Source organism: Homo sapiens, chromosome 14 (assembly GCF_000001405.40).
Source record: "Homo sapiens chromosome 14, GRCh38.p14 Primary Assembly".
In the NCBI taxonomy this organism is placed as follows: Eukaryota; Metazoa; Chordata; class Mammalia; order Primates; family Hominidae; genus Homo; species Homo sapiens.
The window spans coordinates 47,011,038-47,037,983 of NC_000014.9; the positions used below are offsets into that span (position 1 = coordinate 47,011,038).

Here is a 26,946-nt window from a genome sequence, read left to right on the forward strand (position 1 = left end):
ATGATTAGAAGTTTACTTTGGAGAATAAAGAAAGTAGATAACTTTTTAGCATCATAGGGAAAAGTGAATTTGGAGCTGGGCAAAGATAATCAGAAGAAAAGTAGAACAATTGCAAACAAACATACAAACAAACACACAAAAACTCACTCTACTGTGGAATTAGAGCTCGGAGAAAAAAAATGACTTCCCACATAGCATGAAATTAGAACTATGACCTTGGAATAACATTGTTCTTACTACAATTCATGAACATTACATAAATCTGTGGTTGGCCGTAAGAATGTACATACCATTCATCACATTATTTTCTATGTGAATGCATGTTCTTAAATTTAAAATTTAAATAAATGCCTTATAAGTGAACTTTTATAAGATAATCTAATGAATCTCTTTTCTGCTCATATGTTGAGAAGCAAAAGTAACAAGTTCAGTTGGGTGGTTCTGTTGAACCTATAAATTCTACCCATAGAATGTTTCATCAAAACATGTTTCAAAGCAGTACACTGGGAGTTCTAGAAATAAATTTTTCATAAATTCCACTAACTGTATATGTAGAGTCTATTAGTTTCACACTCTAGCATATATTTTTTAATTTATTTAATGACATGTTGACAAAAAATGACACTGTTAAATGCATATTTGTAATAGGCTGCTTCTTATATATACAGGTTATTTTTTACAGTTTATTTCTGATACTATATAACAATTAGGACAATCTACATTAAGAGATCCAAAGGAAAGTAGAGAATATCAGCATGTAGATAGCTCTGATATCCCCCATGGAAAACAATAATATACTTCATAGGTCATGTAAAAGTAGAAATAATGAAATCGTATACATTTTTTCTCAGGTTCTCTCTTTGCTGTTTTTCTTAATTTCAGTCTTCACCAGCAAAGAAGAAACATAATGTCAAAGTGTTCAGTTGAGTATGTGCTATTGTCATCAGCACCTTCCTGAATTGTGTCATCGTTAGCTTTTAGGCATTTACATTTTTTTACATTAAGATTTTGATGATTTCCTCAATCTCCATGTATGTCAGGACTATATTAATTAAAATAGTGTATGATGACAAGATCAGAGAAAAAAATGCAAAAGTGAATTAATTTAAAAATCAAAGATTGGTATAAAGGATAGAGATTCACTCATATGTCTCCTGAAAAATCTCTTCTCTATAAACTGAATATACTTGTTTGCATAAAATGATTTGACTTGTCTGTAAAATAGTCAGTTGAATCAACCTCCATGATGCAAATGGTAAATCAGTTCAAACATACACTTCAGGTGCTGCATTCTCAGAGTGAACATTTTCCACTGATTTATTATATCATTTAGTAATTTTTTATTAATAGTTCATTTTCAAATACCAATTTAGTGTCAACTACTGAACTGTCTATAACAGAAAATACAAAGATAAATCAATCACCACTTTAGCTTTAACAAACTTAATAAGCTTAGTTCCTAGGTTAGGAAAGTAACATAGAAGGCTTAAATAAACACAAAACCAAATAAAAATACATGTACATTTGGAGAGTGACTTAAAGTTTAAACCAAATAGTGCATATAAAGCACTTACTATAGTGTTTAGCATAAAGTGAGTGTTCCACAAATACTGTTTTCATTGTTACTGATGTTATGTTTGTTAACCTGGGTGTAGAAGCAGGAGGTCATATTTCAGTGGGAAGTTTCAGTACAGATATCTTGACAGAGTTGGCATGTACAAGCATACCTCTGAGATACTGCAGTTCATTTCCAGAGCACTGCAATAAGCAAATATTGCAGAAGAGCAAGCCACGAATTTTTTTGGTTTCCCTGTGCATATAAAAATTACATTTACACTATACTGCAGTCTATACAGCATTGAGTCTAAAAAAACAATGTACGTGCCTTAATTTAAAAATACCCTAAGGCAAAAAAATGCTAATGATCATCTAAGCCTTCATCGAGTTGTACTCTTTTTGCTGAAGTGTCTTGCCTTGATGTTGATGGTTGCTGACTGATCAGGATGGTGGTTGTTAACCACCACCGGCCTGTGGCGATTTCTTAAAATAAGAAAACAATGAAGTTTGCTGCATCAATGAACTCATCTTTTCATTCAGGATTCTCTGAAGCATGTCTGGTGTTTGATAGCATTTTACCCATGGTAGAACTTCCTTCAAATTGGAGTCAATCCTTTGAAACCCTACCACTGCTTAATCAACGAAGTTTGTAATATTGTAAATCTTTTGTTGTCATTTCAACAATGTTTATAGCATCTTCATTAGCAGTAGATTCCATTTCAAGAAACCACTTTCTTTGCTTATCCACAAGAAGCAACTCTTCATCCACTGAAGTTCTTTCGTGAGATTGCAGCAATTCAGTCACATCCTCGGGCTCTATCTTCTAATTCTAGTTCTCTTGCTATTTCCAGTATTTCTGTAGTTATTTTCTCCACTGGAATCTTGAATCCCTCCTCCATAAGGGTTGAAATCAACTTCTTCCAAACACCTATTAATGTTTATATTTTGACCTCCTCTTATGAATTATGAATGTTCTTAATGACATCTAGAATGGTGAATTCTTTCCAGGTTTTTAATTTATTTTGCCCAGATTCATCAGAAGATCCACTACCTATGATAGTTATAACCTTATAAAATGTATTACTTAAATAATAAGACTTAAAGTCAAAATCACTCCTGGATTCATGGGCTGCGGAATGGATGTTGTGTTATTAGGTATGAAAACATTAATTTCCTTGTATATATATATATATATATATCTCCTTTTTTTTTTTGACAGAGTGTTGCTCTTTTTGCCCAGGCTGGAGTATGGAGTACAATGGTATGATCTCAGCTCACTGCACCTCCGCCTCCTGGGTTCAAGTCATTGTCCTGCCTCAGCCACCCAAGTACCTGGGATTACAGGCCTGCACCACCACGCCTAGCTAATTTTGTGTTTTTAGTATAGATGGGGTTTCACCATGTTGGCCAGGCTGGTCTTGAACTCCTGACCTCAGGTGATCTGCCCACCTTGTCCTCCCAAAGTGTTGAGATTACAGGCTTGAGCCACTGCCCCCGGCCCTCCTTGTATATCTTTATCAGAGTTATTGAGTGACCAGGTGCATTGTCAGTGAGCAGTAATATTTTGAACAGTAAGTCTCATCAGTGGGCTTAAAATATTCCATAAACTATGCTGTAAATAGATGTGCTGCCATCCAAGCTTTGTTGTTGCATTTATGAAGCACAGGCAGAGTAGATTTAGCATGATTCTTAAAGGCCCTTGGATTTTTGAAATGGCAAATGAGCATTGGCTTCAACTTAAATGCACCAGCTACATTAGCCCCTAACAAGCGATTCAGCCTATCCTTTGAAGTTTTGAAGCCAGTCATTGATTTCTGTCCTGCTATGAAAATCCTACTGACATTTTCTTTCAATAGAAGGCTGTTTTGTCTACATTGAAAATCTGTTGTTTAGGGCTAGCCACCTTCACTAATGATTTTAGCTAAGTCTTCCAGATAACTTGCTGCAGTTTCTACATCAGGACTCGCTGCTTCACCTTGCACTTTTTATGTTATGGAGATGGCTTCTTACCTTAAACCTCATGAACCAACATGTGTTAGCTTCAAACTGTTCTTCTGCAGTTTCTTCACCTCTCTCAGCCTTCATAGAATTGAAGAGAATTTAGGTTCTTGTTCTCAAGTAAGCTTTGGTTTAATGCAATGTTGTGGCAGGTTTGATCTTCTATCCAGACCACTAAAACCTTCTCCATATCAGAAATAAAGCATTTTGCTTTCTTATCATCTGGTGTTCACTGGAGTAGCACTTTTAGTTTCCTTCAAGAATTTTCCTTTGCATCCACAACTTGGATAACTGGTGCAAAAGGCCTAGCTTTCACCCTCTCAGCTTTTGACATGCATTCCACACTAAGCTTAATCATTTTTAGCTTTTGATTTAACAAGAGAGATGTAAGACTCTTCCTTTCACTTGAACACTTAGAAGACATTATAGGGTTATTAACTGGCCTAATTGTAATATTGTTGTGTCTCAGTGAATAGGGAGACCCAAGGAGGAGAGGAAGAAAGACATGAGAACAGCCAGTCAGTAAAGCAGTCAGAACACAATATTTAACAGTTAAGTTTGCTATCTTTTATGGGTGTGGTTCATGGCACCTCAAAACAATTAAAATAATAATGTCTAAGATCACTGCTCACAGATCACCATTACAGATATAATAATAATAAAAAAGTTTGAAATATTGCAAGAATTACCAAAATGTGACATGGAGACATAAAGTGAGCACATGCTGTTAAAAAAAAAAAAAATGGCACCATAGACTTGCTGGAAACGAACCTTCAATTTATAAAAAACACAGTATGTGAAAGGTCAAAGAAGTAAAGGACAATAAAACAAAATATTCCTAACTATCTTCAGGTAAAAAAAAAAAGGAAGGAGAAATGTAAATCAAATAGACATGAACAAAAAGGTGGCAATATGAAAACATGGGGAAGTGAAAACTGAGCTATCTATGGCTGCAATGGAGAGTAGGTGTGGAAAAGTCATGACTGGGAAGGCTTGAGGCCAATTAAGTTGTGCCAATAATCCAAGGCTAAAGGATTTGCAATTCATTCATAAGAGGATGAGAATCACAGAATCCCAAGAAAAGAGAATATCCAAAAATGAAGTCAGGACTCAAGAAAGGGTAAGCAAGACCCAAGGAGTGTCTGAACTAGGACTTTGGAAGTGAAAACAAGAATGTAACATATGCTTCCAAATAAGAAGTCTGAGAAAGATACTGATAAAATTAGAGAGGAGAAAAAATAAACCCCCAAAATGCAGAATTACAGAAATCTAAGGAGCCCAGATGTAAAAAACAAAAACAAAGAATGAAATAAGAATTTGGAGAGTTATAATGATCAAGCAAAAGGTAAACCATTTGGAAGTAGTTACCCAGACTAACCATTAAGGTGGCACCAGTAAAGCATTACTTTACTGGTAATGCTTGTCTGTTTATTTGGTAGAGACATAACTATGTTATTAGAATACAGGCAAAAATATATTTAAAAATTTTAAAACTTATTTCTTTAATTGTATTTTTTTACAAGTATCTAGGTTGAAAGAGTCTGCAAGCTGTCCTGTGGATTCCATCTCTTTTAGTTGATTCAATTGCCAACTCAGTTACAATATTTGCATGGTTTTTAATGGCTTAGCCATTTAAAAAATGGTGAGTAGGTATGCATTCTTCATAGGATTGCTCTGAAGAGTAACAGTAAGTCCTTCATAACATGAGGTCCAAATTACATTAAATCATTAATAGCACTTCAAATATTTTCCCAAATAATGTAGTATCAGTTATTATATTACATCCTTAAGTCTGCTAGGTTTTTAAGATTAACAAAGAAAACTAGCTGAGATCATTTCTTTATCATTCACAATTTGTTCTTTATGTTTCACTTTGTATAGTCAACATAAAGTTATAACTTTATATGAAAAGTATTTCCAAATATACACTTAAAAAATAAATGCACTGAAAAAGCTATGATCATATGAATTTCCGTGACTCACTCTGAATATGCATATATGAGGAAACAGCTCAAAACCATCATTATTACTCTACTAATTTGAAACCTATGATGATGCAACTTGGACACAGCTTTTGGAACTGTGAAAATGTTTTACCAAACAAATTCATAATGAATATAACTAACATGAGTATGTTTTAAAGCAAAGTTTATTATTTATTGTAAATATATATTCATAATCAAAAAATTAAATGAAATTAATAGTCTAAACTCTGTTTTCTTTGTTAATCCACCTCGTATAGATCCAAGTTAACAGGAAATTATGGAGCGTTTATGCAACTCACCTGCAAAAGCCTCTAAAACATTTGCTCAAAATATTTTTATATCTCTTATTCGTAGTCATTTTTATTATTTTTTTCCATATTCTATCTTATTTTCTGTTTTGTTGTGTTTCCAGCTTGCAAAATACTTGCATTTTATGTGTAACCTCCTTTCCTATTTAGGAAAAGTATATGATATTGCATATCTATTTATGTCTCTATTTCTCTTGGTTTCCATTTGTGTTTATCTAGTCTGATTGACTTTTATCAAGGTGCTTTATCCTTGAAATTGACTTTTCAAGCTTATCAAAGGAAAACATTTTCCTGACTTCATGCTCCTTTGCTGTCCATAGAGACAGGTTTTATTTTAGATCTAGAAAGGGAAGCATTGCTCCATAAGGGCCTCTGACCCAGAGGGTCAAAAAGAATTCATCAAGGCCCACATTGAAAAAAAAAAAAAAGAAGAAGAAAATTTAAATCTAGTTTTATTTTTGTACTGTCTTTAGTGAGAGATATAAAATATTCCACTGAATGATATTTAAACTGAGTAGGAAATACATACAATAAGAAATAAAATACATTCCAATTCTATATTATGTCCAGCTACAAAGAGATAGAGCCATAAAAAGGGAAATGAGAAGAGTCGAGGAACAAAGTATGACACAGTCTGAGGATTTAACCAACCCTGAAATCAGAGCAGGAACATTTATATAAATATACGCAATCTTCAACATTCAGGGGGAAAAAATACAAGAAAATATTCACATGATTTCTTAAGAAAATTGTTTTAAAATTCCACATAAAGCTGAAAAATACAGATTAAAAAAAATTGCCCTCATTTATTAGACAGATAGGCCCTATCTTCCTGCTCTAGTGAGTGAAAAATATATGTTCTCAAATTTCAGAGATCCCATATAAATCTATGCTACCATCTTGTGTTCTAAATATTGCTTCTAATGATCTAAAACACATTGCAAGAAATGAAACTAACATGATGTCAAACCCTTAAGAGGAGTCCATGCAAAATGTCTGTTTGCTTAGATATTTTTATTTTATCACTATGCTGAATTTTAGACTTAATATTTCTGGTATTTATTGCTCTCTGTTCTTTTTCCCAGTGCATTCTGCCTGTTTTATCTTCGATAGTCCTTCCTACAGACACAAGAGCACTAGTACATGCAGAAACATATATACTCACACACTATAAAGAGAAGTAAAAAGTGTACTGTTTTAAAGTCCAAATTGACCCTATGTTGTGGAAATATCATAATTTTTTTTTCTGGGGTAATTGACTTTTTTTTTCCCCCCGTTCTTTTTTTTAAAGAAACGCCTTTATTAGTCCATTAGATTGTGACAGGAGTCTAAACAGGAGAACATTACCAGGAAAAAACTAAATTGCTATACATGATAAGTAGGATGTTTATGAGTTGTGCCTTCTGCTAGTGGCTTAGCACTAAGGATAAAGAGAAGTAAAGATCTCACTCAGATGGGAATTAACAAAAGGCTTACCAAAGAAAAGTTGCTTCTGCAGAAAAAGGCTAATGATGGCTATCTGGGAACACTGATAATTCATTCAGAGTATCTCTTTCTTTTACTTCCCCTCCTCTTAGCTTCTAGAAATCTTCAATAATCTGTTCTGCCTCTTGGCCTTAGATTAAAACTGCTTTGAAAAAATTATAAAAAGATTATGTCTAATAAATGAAGTAATGTGAGGGGAAAATTATAATTGCTAAAGGATGATAGCAAAGTAGATACTGAGAACACAGGAAGAATTCAAAGCAAGAGATTCACAGGAGACTTGGAGTTTCCAGAAATTCTCAGAAATATTAGGAAGGCAGGCCAAGCAACTTCCCAAACTGTAAGGCTCAAGCCATTTTACTGAAAAAAAAAAAAAAAAAAAAAAAAAAAAAGTCTCCATTGAGAGAATCAAAACAAAGTGGGAAAATAGGGGGAAATCCTTCTACACATTCACATCTATACCTATTGATGCTGTTGAACTCAAATGTAAAAACACACACCAGACACATATGGCTGTCAGGACAAAACATAATTAGCGTACACCGTCCGTCCTCTGTGTTCACATGGCACCTCTGAAACCTACCTTAAAAGTCTTTGTCTGCTTCTACATTAGATTATAATCTTTCTAGTATACAGATTACCTTTAATTCTTACTTGAATTTCCCTTCATCTAGCAGAGAAATTTATTGACTGAATTAACATTTATTGAATGAATTAATTGAAGTAAATATTTATTGACTGAATTCCTCACAGCTTTCAAATTTGAATACTGATTAAAGTCAAAAAATATGAAAAATAGTTTCATTACCTTGAAAAGAATGAAGCATTAAAAAGTAACCATCACTAAGCCAAGAATGAAAACAATGCCGATGTCTTGAGTATAATGTAGGAAGAATCATCATAATTTTGACAAAATTAAAGGAATACGTAAGTACACAAAACAATAATAATGAGATACAGAGGATACACTATAAGCAGATGTTCTTTTGTAATCTGGCTTTTTAAAAAGTCAGTTCATTGTTATTTTTGTTGTTGCTGTTGTTTTATTAGGTTGGTGCAAAAGTAATTGTGGTTTTTGACATTAAAAGTAATGGCCAAAACCGCAATTACTTTCTCACCAACCTAATAACAACGTGTAAAGGGATTTGGAACAATCAACATTTCAAGTCAAAATATTATCTACCTGGTGTAGGCCGGGCGCGGTAGCTCACGCCTGTAATCCCAGCACTTTGGAAGGCCGAGGCGGGCGGATCACGAGGTCAGGAGATCGAGATCATCCTGATTAACACGGTGAAACCGCGTCTCCACTAAAAATACAAAAAAATTAGCCGGGCGTGGTGGCGGGCGCCTGTAGTCCCAGCTACTCAGGACGCTGAGGCAGGAGAATGACGTGAACCCGGGAGGCGGAGCTTGCAGTGAGCCGAGATTGCACCACTCCAGCCGGGGCGACAGAGCGAGAGTCCGTCTCAAAAAAAAAAAAAAAAAATTATCTACCTGGTAAAGGAGATAAAACACTTTAAAACCTCAGCATCATATTTAAAAGGATTTGTGTAGCATTACTATTGCTAAAAGGAAAATAGTATGCATTTATATTTGTATTAGGTTCAGCGTAATTGGATGAATGCAGAAACTTCACTTTCAGTAGGGTCATACATACATTTTATAGACATATTGTGCACAACTTTACAGGTCCCCACTCAAAACTAAAGCTGCGAATTCAAGGCACAGACATTTTGGGATCAAGTGTCAACAAAGAGAATGTAAATGCGGATCTTCAATCTTTTTCCAACTATGGGAACCGCTTTATCTAACAATGAAAACGCATCAGTGTTAAGGAATTCTATGGATGAGCTAATTAAAATAAAAAATATGAAATTACTGGAATCTACATTTGAGAATTGTAAGATCAAGATCAGATGTGATTCTTAGTAAATACTAGAATACATTTATTTAGTCATCAATGTCAAAACTCTATAATTATGGTCAAGCTACAATTTGGGACCAAACATATTTCATAGGATGGTACCCATCTTAAGTACAAAAATGAAAAAAGATCGGGAATGTCTTATGTAGAATTCTAGAGAAAACCAATCTGATTGTTTAAAACAAGTGACAGATATGTTCCATCTTCACTCAAGGAGCAATAGGCTCAAATTACAATCCCCTAAAAGTATGTATGAATGTATGTGTGTGTATGGAAAGAGAGAGGAAGAGAGGAAAGAGAGAGAAAAACTGTCTGAAGCTAAGAATATTCAAAAGCAGCCTAAGAAAATAATCATATTTTCCCAAGACTATTGAAGGAAACCTAACACACCTACTGTGGCACTGTCACGTGACTTATTAAAAGTTACTTTGTGTGTTGCCAAAGATCAAAATGGTCATTTCAATTCAAATGTTTTTCAACTCCAGACAAATGTATTTGTGTGGGCTGAACAAATTAGTTTTTCTCACTCGAATGAACTAATACATGTAAAACACTGGAAGCAAACCTTTATGACAGTGTACTTTCAGGAAGAAAAAAAAAAATTAGAAGCTTTTTAAAAAAGACAATAAAAGAAAAAGAAAATAATTTTTAAATTAGGCATTTGACAAAAAATGGCTTTTGAGAGAGAAATATGAATTTCCAGGCTACTATATTTTTCCATTGCTTTGTAAAATTTATCTTCTTTACAGATAAGCTGCAAAGAATATCTACAAAGAAACAGACATGCAGACAAAAATAAAATAATTTAAGTCAATTTATCAAGCATTGTGATTTTTTTCTTTGTATTTGTGTAAAAGTTTGGCTACATCAAGAAGAAATAATATAGTAGTATCCTTCATAAGTTAGCAGATCCACAGTCTTTAAAACTAAGGAATTGTAAAATAACATATGTTTAGATGCATGATATATGGATCCAGTAGTGTACCTAGCAACCATCCTCATTCTAAACAGAAGCTAACCACAAAACAACCAAAGGGAAAGATTAAGGTAAAATTCACAAGACATCATCCTTTATAAACTTTCAAAATTTTAATTCATCGGGCACTGAAATTTTGTCATTATATATAGCAAGAATTGCTTTTAATAAGATTGCAAATGCACTGCATTTTCTCTAGATGCAACAAAGCCAAGTATATATAATTATGTATGCCTCTAGCCTTCAATCTCTTATTTTTTATTCTTGTCTTTCATTATAACACATATCTGAATTATTTTAACACAGATAACTTGTTGCAATGCAATTTTGTCATCCATGCATCCTTTAATTCAAGCATGCAGTTTCTAGGAGATTTCTGAAACAATTAATAGAGTATGGTTTCTGTTACATATGCATTATTATATAAATCAGAAAATTTTGTTGGTAATAACTTCCATACTCGAAGATTACTTAGAGACCATCATACTAAGCCCTTTATTTGCATAGAAAATTTGATGGTAGAAACAGACACAAGTCACACAATTAAAATTGGCACTGCTAGAATTTGAATCCAGAGCCAGACTTAGAATCGATACTCCATATTTATAGTTCCTTATCATGCCCCTATTCCAGACTGTAACCGTATTTATAGTTATGGTTAAACCTGTTTTGCATTTTATTATTTATTATTATTTTACTGTCACCTAGGTTGAATTGCAGTATCAAAAAACTGTACGTGTAGAGTTATAACTTCACTGACAACACTGTAACTGAAAAATATAATCTAAATCATTTGAAAATAAAACAATTGAATCTAAAATATATTTTTTTCGAGACAGGGTTTCACTCTATCTCCCAGACTGGAGTGCAGTGACACAATAACGGCTCACTGCAGCCCTGACCTCCACAGGCTCAGGTAAGTCTTCCACCTCAGCCTCCCAAGTAGCTGGAACTGTAGGTGTGCATCACCATGCCTGGCTAATTTTTGTAGTTTTTTGCAGAGATGGGGTGTTTCCCGGGCTTGTCTCGAACTTCTGGACTCAAGCAATCTGCCCACCTTGGCCTCCCAAAGTGCTGGGATTACAGGTATGAGCCACCACACCCAGCCCAAATAAATAAACATTGAAAATGAAATAAATGAAAAACATAACCATATTTCAAATAATTCACCAATGTATGCACTTACTGATCTAGGCATTTTTACAGTATGCAATTATGTCATGAAGGAAAGAGTTTATAATCTCTTATGAGAGAGACAGAGAAAAAAAGAAACAGGAAAAATGTCTCCGTATATTAGGAGTTGAAGACTGAAATTGCTAAGTTCAGAAAATTTTTAAAAAGGTACAGACTTAGAATTTTAAAAAATTACACATGGCTGGAGACTTCAGGGAATAGCAGGGGGGAAATGATATTGGAGTAATGTCTTGAAGATTGTAAAGAGTGGGCTCATAAAGATTATTTTAAGGATATTCATGACATAGGGAATGAAATGACAAAAAGCATTGAGTTCAAATGTGCATAAGAGAATAAACTGTTCACCTTGACTGGAACATGAAATATGATCTCACAAAGGGTAGGGAATGCTATTTGCCAGTTTAGGATACCAAACTTTGAATCACAGGTGATGAGTAGCCATAGAGAATTTCCAAATAGAACAATGCTTGCATTTATGCCTCTGCTGTGGAGTGTGGTTACCCAAGCCAAACCAATCGCGTCTCTGTAGTTAATCTCTGGGTGAGAGACAAAGGGGCAAGCTTTTTCAGGTGGACTGGAAATGAGAACCACTAAGTGAAGCAAATACAGAAAGAACTGAGTTGATAGTTGAGAAGATGGTAATGTTTACATTCCTGGAACCCACTACACTTTCCTGCCTATAACAGTTAGACAAGAATTTTCCATCAATTGCAACCGAAAGTATTCCCACTCGTAAAAAAAAAAAAAAAAAAAGAAAAAGAAAGAAAGAAAAAAGTTCATCTGACAGCAATGCAGCAATGTTGCCAAGGGAAAGAGATCAAAGGTTGTAAAAATAGTAGGAATCTCTTGCAGGAGGTAAAAGGGTCTGACCTTTGAAAAAGCGCTGGAATGGAAAAGCAGGGAAGAATTCAGAGGATTTTGGAAAAAAGAGGCAACCTTAAGGAGTACTACTAACATTGTCAAACACTGGTCTAAATGCTTTTTAGGCATCATCTAATTTAATCCTCAGAAAAATCCATCATAACAAGATTTCTTTTCATCATGGCAAATAAGAAAGTGAATATTTAGAGAAATTATGAATACATAGCAAAGCTGGAATTCAAACCAGGTCTTTAATTCAGAATACAATATCCTAATTTGAAATGTATGCTAGAAAAAGGAAAGACAGAATGACTTTGCTCTTGATAATAGAGAGGAGAGGAATCTTTTTGGTGAAACAGGGAATTCAAGAGGAGAAAAAAATAATTAAAAGGAATTACTATACTTTTAATTTTAGTCACATTAGATTTTAGAATTCATACAGAAACTAAGTTATTCATACAGAAACTAAGTTGACATTTTGCAGTAGCTGAATATTTCAGATACAAATTTGGGGAAGATCTGCTTAGCAATGACAGTTTGAGTCATTATATTGCCAAGCAAGAGAGTATAGAGTAAGGAAACAATAGGATCAAAATCTGATATACAGAGAAGAAGAATAAATAGCAGCCAAAACAAGATTGAAAAGTAAAAACGGAACTAGCATTTACAATATCATAAAAGACAAAGAAGAAAAATGCATTAGCAGGAATGAGTGTTCACTCAGTAAATATGTCCTCTGCATGAAGATAAGACAGACATAGACAGATAGACAGGTGGATGGATAGATGAGTAGATAGGGATACATCACTGCATTCATACATAGCTCTCTAAATATCTGCATCATCTGCCTCTATATCTATGTATATCTGTGATTGAATGATTGATTGTAACTTAGAGCTTCAAGTGAGCACTTAAAGTGAAAACTTTGTGTACTGAAATTACTTACATCTTTTAACTGAGCTATAAAGCACTATATTCATCATTTTATGTTGTACACAAGGCAATTATGTTGTGTTTATGAACATATGGCTTCAAACACTGGATAAACTGTTGAAACTGATGGGCACAAAGAAACAGAATACTCAAGAAACATCTGATCGCTTCTGTCATTTCATCCATATATTTCAAGGCAAATAACTTATAAGAATGAATACTTCCTGTTTCTTAAATACATTTCAGTTTCCTGCTTAGCTTTGAATAGTTTCCTCCCTTGATTAATTTAGTGTAATTATCTTCTTAAAAAGAAATGCTACTCAAGTTAAATAATAATCTTTTTCTAGAAAAACATTTTAAAACTCGTATTTCATTGAATGAGAAACAATATCAAAGAAAACAATACACATATTAAATTTCAAGAAAAGTATTTGACTTCTTTCTTTAAGAAAATAGTTTGAATTAAGAAGAAAGAGTAATTTCCACCTTTAAAATGTCTTAATGGTATATAATCAAGGAGATTTTATTTTAATGTTATAATGCATGGTCAGTTTAAGTCCTGAGGTGTCCTTTTGAAGAACCTTTATTTTTGCTTATTATAATATTTAAGGCTTCAAGGAAATATTCATTTGCCAGGAGAAAGGAACTCACAAGGTAGATTGAAATGATTTCATGGAACAGCATGAAATACAGCTACTCCCTGCCAAACCCAGACACAAAGCCAAAAGGCCTATGAAGGAAGAATACAGGCACAGCAGTTCACAAAAGATGAATCAAAAGGCAAGTTAAAAAACAAAAATATATTGGAAACATGCTTTCTTAATATATGAAACTATAATTATTATTATCAAATGCAGAAAAATATAAGAGTAAAAGAATTGCTAAGAGTTTAGTTTGGCAGATGAAAAGAGTAGGTGCAATTAAAGGAATAAACATTTTCCCTACTGTACAAGAATTTGACCTTCTTTTAAAATTCTAGCTCTGATCCCCTGATAACCTGACAAGGGAAGAATGTCAACTATAATCTTAGGTGACATTTCTACATTAAATTGCTTCTGGATTTGAGAGGAATGTTAATACTTAATAGGAAGCCATGGCTTTGAGCTTAGTGCAGTGGCTCTTGTAACTGGCATGTCTCTTCAAGGACCCTGGAAATTCTGCCTATAGATTTGTTACAACAGAGATTTTGGCTCCTGTGGGGCTGAGGATTCTGCCAGAGTTCCCATCCCCAAATTATGTAGACTTTGTCTCCTTGTCTATGAGTCATCATCTAGGCAGCAGTTCTTAACCTGGGGTGATTTTGCCAGTCAGGGACATTTGGCAATGTCTGGAGACAGTTTTTATTGTCATGACATAGGGGAGAAGGACATATTACTGGAATCTAAAGATTACAAGCCTAAGTAGCCTCTAAACACCATACAATAAACAAGCTAGAGCCTCCTTCTCCACCACAAAAAAAAAAAAAATTATATTTTGGGCAAGAAAACTGTGTTGGAAGACTGCCATATGTGTTTGGGACAATTAGCAGTAGCCATGGTCTCTACTCTCTAGATGCCAGGAGCATTCATTTTCCTCCACTGATTCAATTAAAACATGTTTTTAGACATTTTCAAAGATCTGCAGGGAATAGGAGTGGAAGGGCATGTTGGCAAGCTATTGTTTCTGTCTTATACCCTTGTGTATGAATTTGATACCAAATACGCCTCTAGTAGTCCCGCAAGTTTAAAAGCAGTGGAATCTAAGACCCTTGGTAGATTATTCAATACAGGAATTTACTACAAAGTAAAGTTATTAGTGTCACATAATATAACCCAACGTAATATGATATATGCAAAACCAAAAAATGTGTGGCTAGTACTAAATATTAAAATATGATATTACATCAAACAATTGATAATAAAGATACAATTGCTAACAACATATAAGCTAAAATTCTATATGAATACTGCCTGTAGGTGGATTAAACACTCTAGTAAATGTGTATCTCTTGCTGGAGGGAGAGGAAGTTATGTCTTTCTCTCAAATACTGCCTTTGATTTCTCACTTTCAGATTGGCTTTATCATGCATTAATTAAAGTACTCTTTTGACAATCAATTTCTTACATTGTTGCTTAACTTCTGAAGTTCTTTGAATTTATTTTTTTCTAATCAAAGACCAAAAGGCATGGGTCTTTGATTAGAAAAAATTAACTTAAACTCTGTAAGTTAATTTGATAGCACTTTATATTTCCCTTAGCACTAAGCATATTATTGTTGGTATATTTAAAATAAATTGATAATATCACAGGAATGTTCATATGATATATTATTGTTCACCTTTATGTGTGATTTATTATAATCATTTATTATTATTACCTTTGTGTTACAGGGGAGATGATCATAGTATGTGTGAAATGCCCAAATTCTGTATTTGGGAAGAAAGAATTTAGGTTTTGGAAGAAAGACAAATTCCTTTTTAACTAAGAAAGATTATGAAGGCACAGAACTTTTATAGTCATACTTATATATTTATATATGTGTTTATGTTCATTTTTCTTAGAAGAAACTATATTTGCATAAAGCAAAAAAGGGAGGAAAGAAAAAAGCCCCCAGGAACAGAGGCATGTAAACTTTTTATTGAAAATTTAACTCAGTGGGGCGTAGTGGTTCACACCTTCAATCCCAGCACTTGGGAAAGCTGAGATGGGAGGGACGCTTGAGGCCAGGAGTTTGAATCCAGGCTGGGCAACATAGCAAGACTCTGTCTCTTAAAAAAAATGTAAAAATTAGCCCAGCATGGTGGCTCACACCTGTAATCCCAGCTACTTGGGAGGTTGAGGATCGCCTGGGCCAAGGAGTTGAGGCTATATAAGCTATGATTGTGCTACTGCAGTCCAGCCTGGGCAACACAGAGACCCTGTCTCAAAAAATGGAAAAAAAAAACCTATAAAATAAATTTAACTTAATCACATATGTGAAGGGTTTCAAGGGGAGAAAATATCCTTACGGCCTTATGGTATTATGGAAATGATATAATGATATTATCCAGTTGAATTCATTTTTGCACAGTTGGGGTGGACAGAAGTACCTAGCTGACAATATCAATAAAAATGAGTCTTGCCTGGCTTAATTTGTACCTTTAATCATTCTGTTAAAACTAGCTGGTCACTCTCCCACTTCTTTGCATAGATGCTGAAAAATAAAAATTTTAATACATACACTTTATCTAAACATTAAATTATGGTTGTACTTACTTTAAGGTAGCAGCAGAGAAGAAACCAGAAAAATAAACTATGTGCTTATTTTCCTTACATGAGCCACATACTTGATAAACTGATCTTCTTTTCAGATAATGTATAGTCAATTGCTCTATCTGAAGATATTATATATTATATATATATATATATGCAATGCACTCAGTCCTTAAGAGACTGAAAATTTCTTTCTATTTTCTTGAACAATTTCCTTAGATGGTTATTTGCCCCTTAGTTATATATCATGCTGTGTTCTCTGGAAGAATGAAAATATAGAGAGCAAGGAAAACGCCCAGAATGTCAGGAGCAGTTCAACTAAAGTATATTCATCCTAGAAACATTCTGGAAAATAATGTTTATTTGTGGGAAGCTCAGTTTTCAAATATTCAAGAGTAATGTAAATCCATGGAAAGATAAAGTAAGATATATGTTGACTGGAAATAATAATCCTAGATCTTATTTTGTACAGAGTTTAAATTGGACATTATCTTATAATACATTGTTTCTATATACATTGTTTCTTCTTTTTTAAGATAAGATCTTAACTACAGAGAAGAGGTAGATGATGGAATATGTAAAATAGAAATATTTATGTAAATAAGTGGTAAAACTAAGATTCTATGAGTCAAAGAAAATCCTCCAAGTCAAAGCTCTCTTCGAAGTCATTATCCTTATAGTGGCAATGGATATATAGTCTTAATGCAGTCATCACCAAAAACATCTGGAAAATAACTTTGAACTTACCATTAATGTTTCTAATAGAGTCTTTGGAATAATCTCAAAGGTAAGTCCTCAAATTTTGAGTATAAATTTATATTATGTGAGGAAACCAAAGGCTGTTAGAATCAAGTCATTTTGGCATAAGAAATAAATCCAATTAGAAAATAACAGTTCAGTGTAAATATATACAACCATTAGAATTATTTCCCAAACTATCTATATAGCCAATATTACAGGATAGTTCTGAGAAAGGCAATACTGAAACAAAACCTAGTGATTTTGAAAGAAATATATCATCTAATGTGTGTCTTCAAAATGAAGTTTTACTTTGAAGCTCTAAATTGTCTTCTACATACTAATGCTAGTGTCCATGGAGCTATCAATAAAGATCTTTCGTCATCACCAAGAGGCAGTATAGAGGGTTGCGACTTAGCTAGGACTTAAATGGCAAAAAGATTGGAAGAATTGTTATAAACAGAAGAGGAGCATAAAAGCCTAGCCAGAGAGGCAACATTGAATTATCATGCTTATGGGACTGAGAAGAGATGGACTGAATTATTACAGAAAATAAGAAACAGAGCTGGACAAGTAAAGCTTGTTCAGGCTACTGAGCTGAAAGTCATTATTACCCTCCTAATAAATTAAAAATTCATTCATTCATTTATAAAATTTTTGGATAGCCTTTTTGCCTGGCCTAGATCCTCTTGTATTTCCTCTTTTATCAATAATTACCTTGTCTTTGATATCAGTTTTAGATAAATCCCTGGTCACACTGATATTTCCAGAACAATTTTGCTTTTAGAAAATCACAAAATTGTTATATTACCTCAGTACACTAATTCTATCTCAACGCTACAGAATATTACCCAGTAACTCATCTAACAATAGTGAACATATGTATTACAGCACTTTCCAATCTATCATTAATTTTATTTTGCTTTGTCAGGTTCATGATATTATGCTTTTGTTGAATATTCATTTAGATTAAAAGTAACTAGCATACTCTCTTCATTAGATTTCTTGAGAAAAAGCCTCAAAAATAAAACCCTGATCTCTGGCTCTCTCTCCTTCACCTAATTTGGTCTTGCTTGGGAAACTGAAACAGGTGAGGAACATGGGTTTATCAATAGCCCTGATTATTTTCTTTCATAATTTTTCTTTGTTTGGAAAATACAAATTATAAGGGGTATATTAATTAGATTTGGAATTAGGTAAAAGGCAGTTACTTAACACAATCTAACACTAACATCTGTCTTTGGTTTTTAGTATATATTTTATACCGCTTAACAGAAATATCATGTCATTAGTTGAAGGTACAACAAATGTGCATCTACATGGTGGAGATTTAACAGCAAAAGTGACATTCAATGCAATATATTCTCCAGTTAATTTTCAAGGAAGTATACTTTGAAATATACTCACATTACTAAAAGACTTTAATAGCGCTTTGAGATGAAACTAAAGGACAGCTTATATTACAAATAAAATGTTATAGTTTATCAAATTAAAATTGTAGCATATAATTTTATAAGTGTAAGTATACTTATATAATACAGATATAAAAACAATACTTTCTTTTAGGAAGACAATAAGCATATCCTGTATCCTGTTTTGTTTTTGTTTTTCTTTTTTTTTGAGATGAGTATTGCTCTGTCACTCATGCTTGAGTGCAGTGGCAAAATCTCGGGTCACTGCAACCTCTACCTCCTGGGTTCAAGCAATTCTCCTGACTCAGCCTTCCGAGTAGCTGGGACTACAGGTGCACACCACCACAGCCAGCTAATTTTTGTATTTTTAATAGAGTTGGGGTTTCACCATGTTGGCCAGAATGGTCTCAATCTCTTGACCTCGTGATCCACCCACCTCAGCCTCCCAGAGCGCTGGGATTACAGGTGTGAGCCACCCCCCGCCCACATATCCTGGTTTCTTATTTAACATATATATTTGGAAATCCAATGGAACTTTTATATAATTAATATTCAAACAATCAGGTACTTTGTTTAGAAAGTTGTTTTAGTTGTTCAGGCGCAGTGACTCACACCTGTCAAATCCCAGCACTTTGGGAGGCTGAGGTTGGTGGATCACCTGAGGTCAGGAGTTCGAGACTAGCCTGACCAAAATGGAGAAACCCCATCTCTACTAAAAATACAAAATTAGCTGGGCATGGTGGCACATGCCTGTAATCCCAGCTACTTGGGAGGCTGAAGTAAGAGAATTGCTTGAACCAGGGAGGCGGAAGTTGTGGTGAGCTGGGATCACGCCACTGCACCCCAGCCTGGGCAACAAGAATGAAACTCCATCTCAGAAAAAAAAAGAGAAAAAAGAAAGTTGTTTCAGTTTTGTTCAGTAAGCTCTATACATACTATGATTTTTAAATACTATGAATAAATTAATATATGTAATATCTTTATTTTCAATTATGCTATTCTAATGCTGCTTCAAATAAAAATGAGCCAAATATTCAAAAAAATTGTATTATCATTCCAAAAAATGGGAATAAATTAAACAATGGACAAAATTTTTTAATGTTATTAAAACATTACATTGTACTTTGCAGTTTTACCCAGAAAAACCTTTTAAGTTTAATTTTAAAATACTTTTGTTTCAAAACACTTATATTTTCAACTTCATACTCTGGTCCATAATCTGTGTGGTAACTGGCAATTGTAGAAGTTAAAAGTCATAAAGAAAAAGCCTTTTGTTTTCTAAAAATTAGCAATGTGAACAAGAATTAATCAAACTATTTCATTGTAGTGACTATGTTACTCTTAACAGGATATAGAATGGTCTAAAATATCTCTAGGCTTCTGTCCCTCATTATGTACAAATTTTAACAAGAGGCATTAATTAGTGAGAGTAAGTAATTCAAAAAGTTTGTATAAACATTATAATTTTGTAAGTTATATTGCTTCCTTTTAAACATAACATTAGCTAAGAATAAACCTCATTTGGATATTTAGAACTATAAGTGGATGGTTCCATTATTTACATTATTTAGAAATATATATATATATATATACACACACACACACACTATTTCCTTTTAGGGATGGACGCCCTACACTCATTGATGTCCTACATACAATTCATTCTGTGCTCCTTTAGTTTTTTTGAGTGGTTATTGTTTAATTGGACGCAAGTAAAACTAAGCAAGTAAAAATATCTTGAAAATACTGGATTTTTTCTATCTTATTTATTATTGCCACCTCTTTTACATTCTTTTATGTCTTAAAAGATGAAATTATACATAAATATGTGTGTGCTTGCGTGTAAAATAGGCAGTTCCAGAATTTGTCAATGTAATAAACATCTTATGGAAGAAATCTGTATGCAGCAAATCCTCAGCTATCCCTGATACTTAAGTAATAAAAAAACAGCTGATATGGTTTGGATCTGTGTCCCTGCCCAAATGTCATATTGAAATGTAATCCTCAGTGTTGGAAGTGATGCCTGGTGGTAGGTGATTGGATCTTGGTGTGGGATTTCTCATGAATGGGTTAAGCACCATTCCCCCTTGGCACTGCCATTGCGATAGGATAGTGTGAGTTCTCATGAGACGTATTCATTTAAAAATGTGTAGCACCTCCCAGGTTGCCCTCTTGCCCCTGCTCTGGCCATGTGATGTGCAAGCTCCCACTTCACCTTCTGCCATGATTGTAAGCTTCCAGAAGCCTCTCCAGAAGCAGATATCAGCATCATGCTTCCTATACAGCCTGCAAAACTGTAAGCCAATTAAACTTCTTTTCTTTATAAATTACCCAGTCTCAGGTATTTCTTTATAGCAGTGCAACAATAGACTAACAAACCAGGCATGCATTTTTTTGTGTGTTTACACAACAAATTTACTGAACAGCTATCATGTAAAATATATTATGCTGGGAATACAAAATATATAAAGCATAGCTTGTTATCTGCAATGATGGACTTAATTGCTAAGGATGATACAAAATATATATAGAGAGGTATACATATGTATATCCACATATGAATGATATAACTTAGTTTTTAATAGTCCATATTAATATTTCTTACATGTAGCACAGGTATCCAAGTTAAGCAAAAAATAAATTATTTTCAAATTAAAAAAAAATCAGGATGAACATGGTGGCTCGTACCTGTAGTCTCAACAGTTTGGGAGGCCGAGGCAGGAAGATTGCTTGAAGTCAGGTGTTTGGGACAAGCCTGAGCAACATAGCATGACCCGGTCTCTACACAAAATTAAAAAATTAGCCAGGTATGGAGGTGCACACTTGTAGTCCCAGCTACTCAGGAAGCTGAGGTGGAAGCATTGGTTGAGCCCGATTTTACTGAACAAAGCTGCAGTAAGCTATGATCGTGCCACTGTAGTTCAGCCCGGGCAACAGAGTGAAACCCTGTCTCTTAAAAAAATCACTATAAAAGTTAGACTGTTTTTCAATTTAAAAACATTATCTGAATTCCTGTACTATTAGTTTTGCAAGAATAAGCCTTAGATAGGCATGTAGGCAAGATCTGCTGGCAGAGATTACATGCCTGGAAAATGAACCTTTGATGTACTCAGGAATATTCTGGAGTTGTTACCAGTTATTTGTACCTGAAAAATAGTGACATATAACCAAGTTCTTCAGAAGATTTGGAAATATATGGAAGGGAGGTCCTTGAAAGCCATGATAACATGATCCTCACCTAGAGCTGGCAAGACTGCCTGCATCCAGTTGCCTTCCTGGGCAGGCCAGGGAAGTTTTCCTCTGAGAGGAAATGCAGTTGGATTATAACCCCTGCTCTGGGAAGTCACCTTGGGATGCAGACAAATTGTATCATTTTTACCTACATTAAAATAACTAAACTTTGCCTGTGTCTATCGGTATTTTTTACTCAATTATGTTCATCCCTGTCACACTAGAGACAACTGTGCCACTGTTTATTGTCATTCCTATTATAGAGTTGAATTTTAAAATCTTATGCTGAATTTATTTTCTAGCGGACTAATTAAGAAGCAGGAGAAAGGAAAAAATAGGAAATTTAGTTAATCAATAGAATTCTGGAGTTAAGAATATTCTATGGAGAACAGAGATTCTGATTTCTTGAAACTTTAATTTGAAGTTCGCTAAAGCCATTTGGGTTCTGTAGGTTTTACTAGTATCAGCTTCTGCAGAAAGGAGTGAGCAGAGTGAAAACTGATTGCACTAATAGCTGCAGGAACACTGAAGCTTTGTGCATAACTCGAAGCAGCTCAGAATTCTGTGTTTACCAACAAGATTGAAGTGTTCCAAATTACATCAAATTCCTTTGTGGTCACTTAAGGGTATCTCATTTTTTAGAAAATGGGAAGCAGTTTCACTCTCTTTCTTTTCTTTTTTTCTGAAACCTGTTTTCACATGATCCTCATACCCATGAACAGACTGTCATGAGTATAGAGGCCAGTGAGAAAAAGGCAATATTAAACTGCTGAATGAAACCTGACATCTAAAACCTGCCTTATTTGGAGAAAAAACTCATAATCGATTAGAAATCAGCCAGGTTATTTGGCATTTGTTTGCAAATATCAGTTTGCGTGTTTATAAGACAAATAGCATATCTGGAATCTGAGGTTCTATAGAAGAGGGGCAGGGAATGGTTAAGCAGCACCCAGAACCTTGTCTCTCACCCCACACTCACATATCTCATGCATAAATACATTTGTCTCATACTTTAATTATTCTCTCAAATATGAAATAGTTCATTCATTCTGCCAACAACTTTAAGTCTAATATAAAAATAGACATTCTTGGACTAAATTCTATTTTCAATTTCCTGAGTTACAAAAGAGTCAGACAAAAATGACATCGTTTATTGAAGTGCATGGTTTCACCTAATTCATCTGTTTAATGAAAACTTGATATTGTATATTTAACAAATAGTATGTCAATTAAAATTTGCAGTAGCACTATCAGAGGTTGAGTAGATTGTGTTTAGTTTTCTTCTTTTTCAGCAGTGTCTTTACCATTGGGCAGCCCAGTTACCAGGGCATTCTGTAAAAACCAAACAATAGTAACACTGGTACATTTTATTGACCATTAAGTGTGTGGATTTAGGTATTTTTAATGATAAAATCAAATGTAAAGTCCATAATATCTACATTTTTAATTAGAACTATAACCGTGATTTCAGTAAAAATATAAAAATAGTTTAAAATGTATCTTATTCAATTCTCAGAGTAAAACAATTACCCGCTAAGATTAAATCAGGCAAAAATTCAGCACCTAAGACTTTCCTGAATTATCACTATATTACTAGATAATTACGTAATTCACTGTTACAACTTCAGGTATGCAAATATAACATTTCAATGATTAGATCTCCATAATTTAAGCAAAGAGATGCTTGAAATAGGTAGATAATTTGGGAAAAGGACATGCAATTGCCTGAAGTAAAAACATGGACTGTGAAAACAAACATGTATTACAACCTGAATTAGCAATTACTTCCAGTCTCCACTTTGCTTATTGCACATGGACAGTTTCTCACCATCAACCAGATAACACCATCATAATTATCATACACACACACACACACACACACACACACACACACACACACTAAAACAACTCTTTCTATTAGTGTGTATAAGCTCATGCAAAAAGCACATTTAGGGTAGATTATAGTTTAAATTGTGTATCATTAATGTAGAATGTAGAAATAGTTCATTCAATCCAATGTAGAAATGTAGAAATAGTTCATTCAATCTAGTTACAAAAATCACCTCATATTAATAGTAGAATAATGGTAACACTTCTTCCCTTGTCCCCATATGGAAATGCATAAAAGGGAATTTACTTACACTGAACGATGAGCTGCACCAAGGCTTCCCTTGGTTTCACGTTAAATCCATTGTATTGGCTGGTCTGACATCTGTACATTCCTGACATTTCCCTAGATACATTCACAATCCTCAGTGTTCCATCATAACTCTCCATTTGCATTGATCCATCAGGCATTGCAACTTCTTTATCCGCTCTAGACCAAAGGATGATTGGTTTAGGTTTGCCAGTTACTTGACATTGCAGTTCTATTGTGTCTCCTTCTCTGGTGACCAATGGTGATTTTTCCTGTGGAACAGTCAGATTGGGTGGAACTTGAAATGGGAAAAAGAAAATTTTTCAAGGTTAGTATAAACTGGTAAAGCATATTCAGATACAGAAAATCATAAGGAAACAATTTCTGCTGGCTGAAGAAATGTGACAATTCGGATGATCAAAAACCTTGGGAATAAATGGAATATACTCTCACTGAAAATCATTCTTAATTGTTTTCACTGTATATTTTAAAATGAGGACTTCAAACATTAGCAAAATAAATAAGGCATTCAATTGAAAAATGGTTAATATAAGAATAATCTTCTCAATGACCTGTAATAATTAGCCATTAACTGGGGCTTTAACATTTGCATTTCATAGAAGAGTAGCATTCAGCTGTGTAGACTCAGTAGTCACAATAAGTGCAAGTAGTCAGAAAGGGAAAAAGAGAAACCTCTGATCTAAAATCAAAAGTTTTGACTAGTTTAAAACTTGCCAAATTGCTAAGATTTAGGATTTGTTTTTTGCCTAGTGGGAGTGAAATCAAGCAATTTGAAAATCCATTCTATTCTCCATTTTTGGACTTTTAATTTTTTGTGATATTTGAATTTATTATTATTTCACTTCATAATATTTTGATGTCATTGTAAATAGTTTGCCATAATATTGCCAATATTTCTACAAAATTAATTTTAATTAAATCTTCAAAATATATTTCAACGAATATAAAAATTATAATTTTGGTCTTGCGCGGTGGCTCACGCCTGTAATCCCAGCACTTTGGGATAATGAGGCAGGAGGATCACGAGGTCAGGAGATCGAGACCATCCTGGCTAACACGGTGAAACCCCGTCTCTACTAAAAATACAAAAAAATTAGCCCAGCATGGTGGAGGGCGCCTGTAGTCCCAGCTGCTGGGGTGGCTGAGGCAGGAGAATGGTGTGAACCCGGGAGGCGGAGCTTGCAGTGAGTTGAGATTGCACCACTGCACTCCAGCCTGGGCGACAGAGCCAGACTCTGTCTCCAAAAAAAAAAAAAAAAAAAAAAAGAATTATAATTTTTCTCGAGTAAAGTTAATTTCTGATTTACAGAGAATATTTATGAGAAGTTAGATTGATTTTACTGTAACTTACTTTATTGTGCTGAAATATATTTATGTTAGAATTTAGTGAAAACCATTAAGTGATATGAGGGAAATACTATACAACGATCTTTCTTACAAACATCACTAGTTCCACTGGAAGATTCTTATTTCCTACACAATTGTATATGAATTCAAATGCATTTGTGCAGTAGAACATCTATCAAAAAAGCACAAGCTAAATAGAATGCTATAAATACGAATAACCAGAAACATGAATAATTCTATCCTTCCGATAAATGTTATATGTTCCCTTTGGAAGTAGTACTGCACATGAATGAAAAGTGAAAGGTTTTACTCTTCCTTCTAGTTTGATTATGGCCCACTGCCCAGGTACAAAACCAAACATAATTATGTTTAAAATTATTTTTCAACTAATTTTGAAATGTTGTTTTCCTCATTATAGAGACAAATAAATTCAAGTTCAAAGTGATATGACAATTATCTTCCTATTCAAATATCTTCAATTCACTTTTTCATTTAATTCCTTCACTTATTGTTTAAAACACTAATTACATAATGCATAACGTCTTAGAATTTAAACAATATGAACTATTCACCACCACCATTTTGAAGTAGATATATACATCCTAGAAATTGACATTAACAAAATATATGTTTAAAACGGCTCCATTTTATAAACCCAAATGGGTAATTTGTTCTGGTATACATAAACAATTAAATAATTTTGGCAAAGTATTTGTTCTTTTTGAAGTGAATGATGTAATTAAAATCTAAGCAGCATGCTCAGACAATGGGATTGGAATGGAACTGTGACACTTATTCACCCTCCATGGGAAAGGGTGCAGAATAACCTCAGCATTTAACATTTATTATCCCCCTACTATGTGACAGGCACAATTAAGGATTTTATGCTTTCATTTAAACCCCCTTGATAATCTTAAGGACCAAATATTTAATATTAAAATAAACAATTAAGAACATTGAGAATAACAGATAATAAATACTTCAATTTGAACAGAATACAAACAAAAACTAACTTATAGCAGGTAGCTAATGTAAAGATATGAATACTGAAGCAGGTTCAATAAACAATGGTATCTGGAATTAATAACTTTTGAGCGTTAGCAATAGACTCCTCTCTTCCTGCTCATGACAAATTGGACAAAATCCCTGCCTGTCACTTGGTCACTGTTTCAAATATGAAAGAGTAGAGATGAATGTGAGGGAGTATACAGTAAGTATTTTGCAAATTATCTTTTCTTTCTTTTATCCTCTTATTGATTTCTTTAGTCATTTATTATTGCTATCACAGTGGATAAGGCCAACATCTATATTTCTTAAATAAATACCTCAATCATCTATATCTGAATATGTTTCACATGTCAAAACTGCTTATAAGATATACCAACCTCAAAATAAATATCCAAATTTAGATAAATCTGTGTAAAATAAATAAAAAATGTATAACTTTAAAGACTAATGGAGGGTTATTACTTGAAATATACAATCCATATCTGTTCCAAAAACAAGCTACCTGACCTTGGCCAACCAAAACACCGTCTGTATTAATTTTACCTTTTGTTGATGTTGTTGTTTTGAGATGGAGTCTCGCTCTGTTGCCCAGGCTGGGGTG

General features: G+C 33.8%; 1 protein-coding gene across 10 annotated transcripts in view; it reads right to left on the bottom strand.

Moving 5' to 3' along the window:
* MDGA2 (MAM domain containing glycosylphosphatidylinositol anchor 2) overlaps nt 1-26,946 on the bottom strand; it is an 835,983-nt gene that overhangs the window by 171,415 nt on the left and 637,622 nt on the right. For 8 of the 10 annotated variants that reach the window (XM_011536519.3, NM_182830.4, XM_047431048.1 and 5 more), the window contains one exon: nt 23,974-24,267. In XM_011536519.3, coding sequence (XP_011534821.1) covers nt 23,974-24,267 — 294 coding nt within the window. Of the gene's footprint in view, nt 1-23,973; nt 24,268-26,946 lie in introns of those variants that run through there. The other 2 variants (XM_011536525.3, XM_047431051.1) reach the window with 2 other exon arrangements.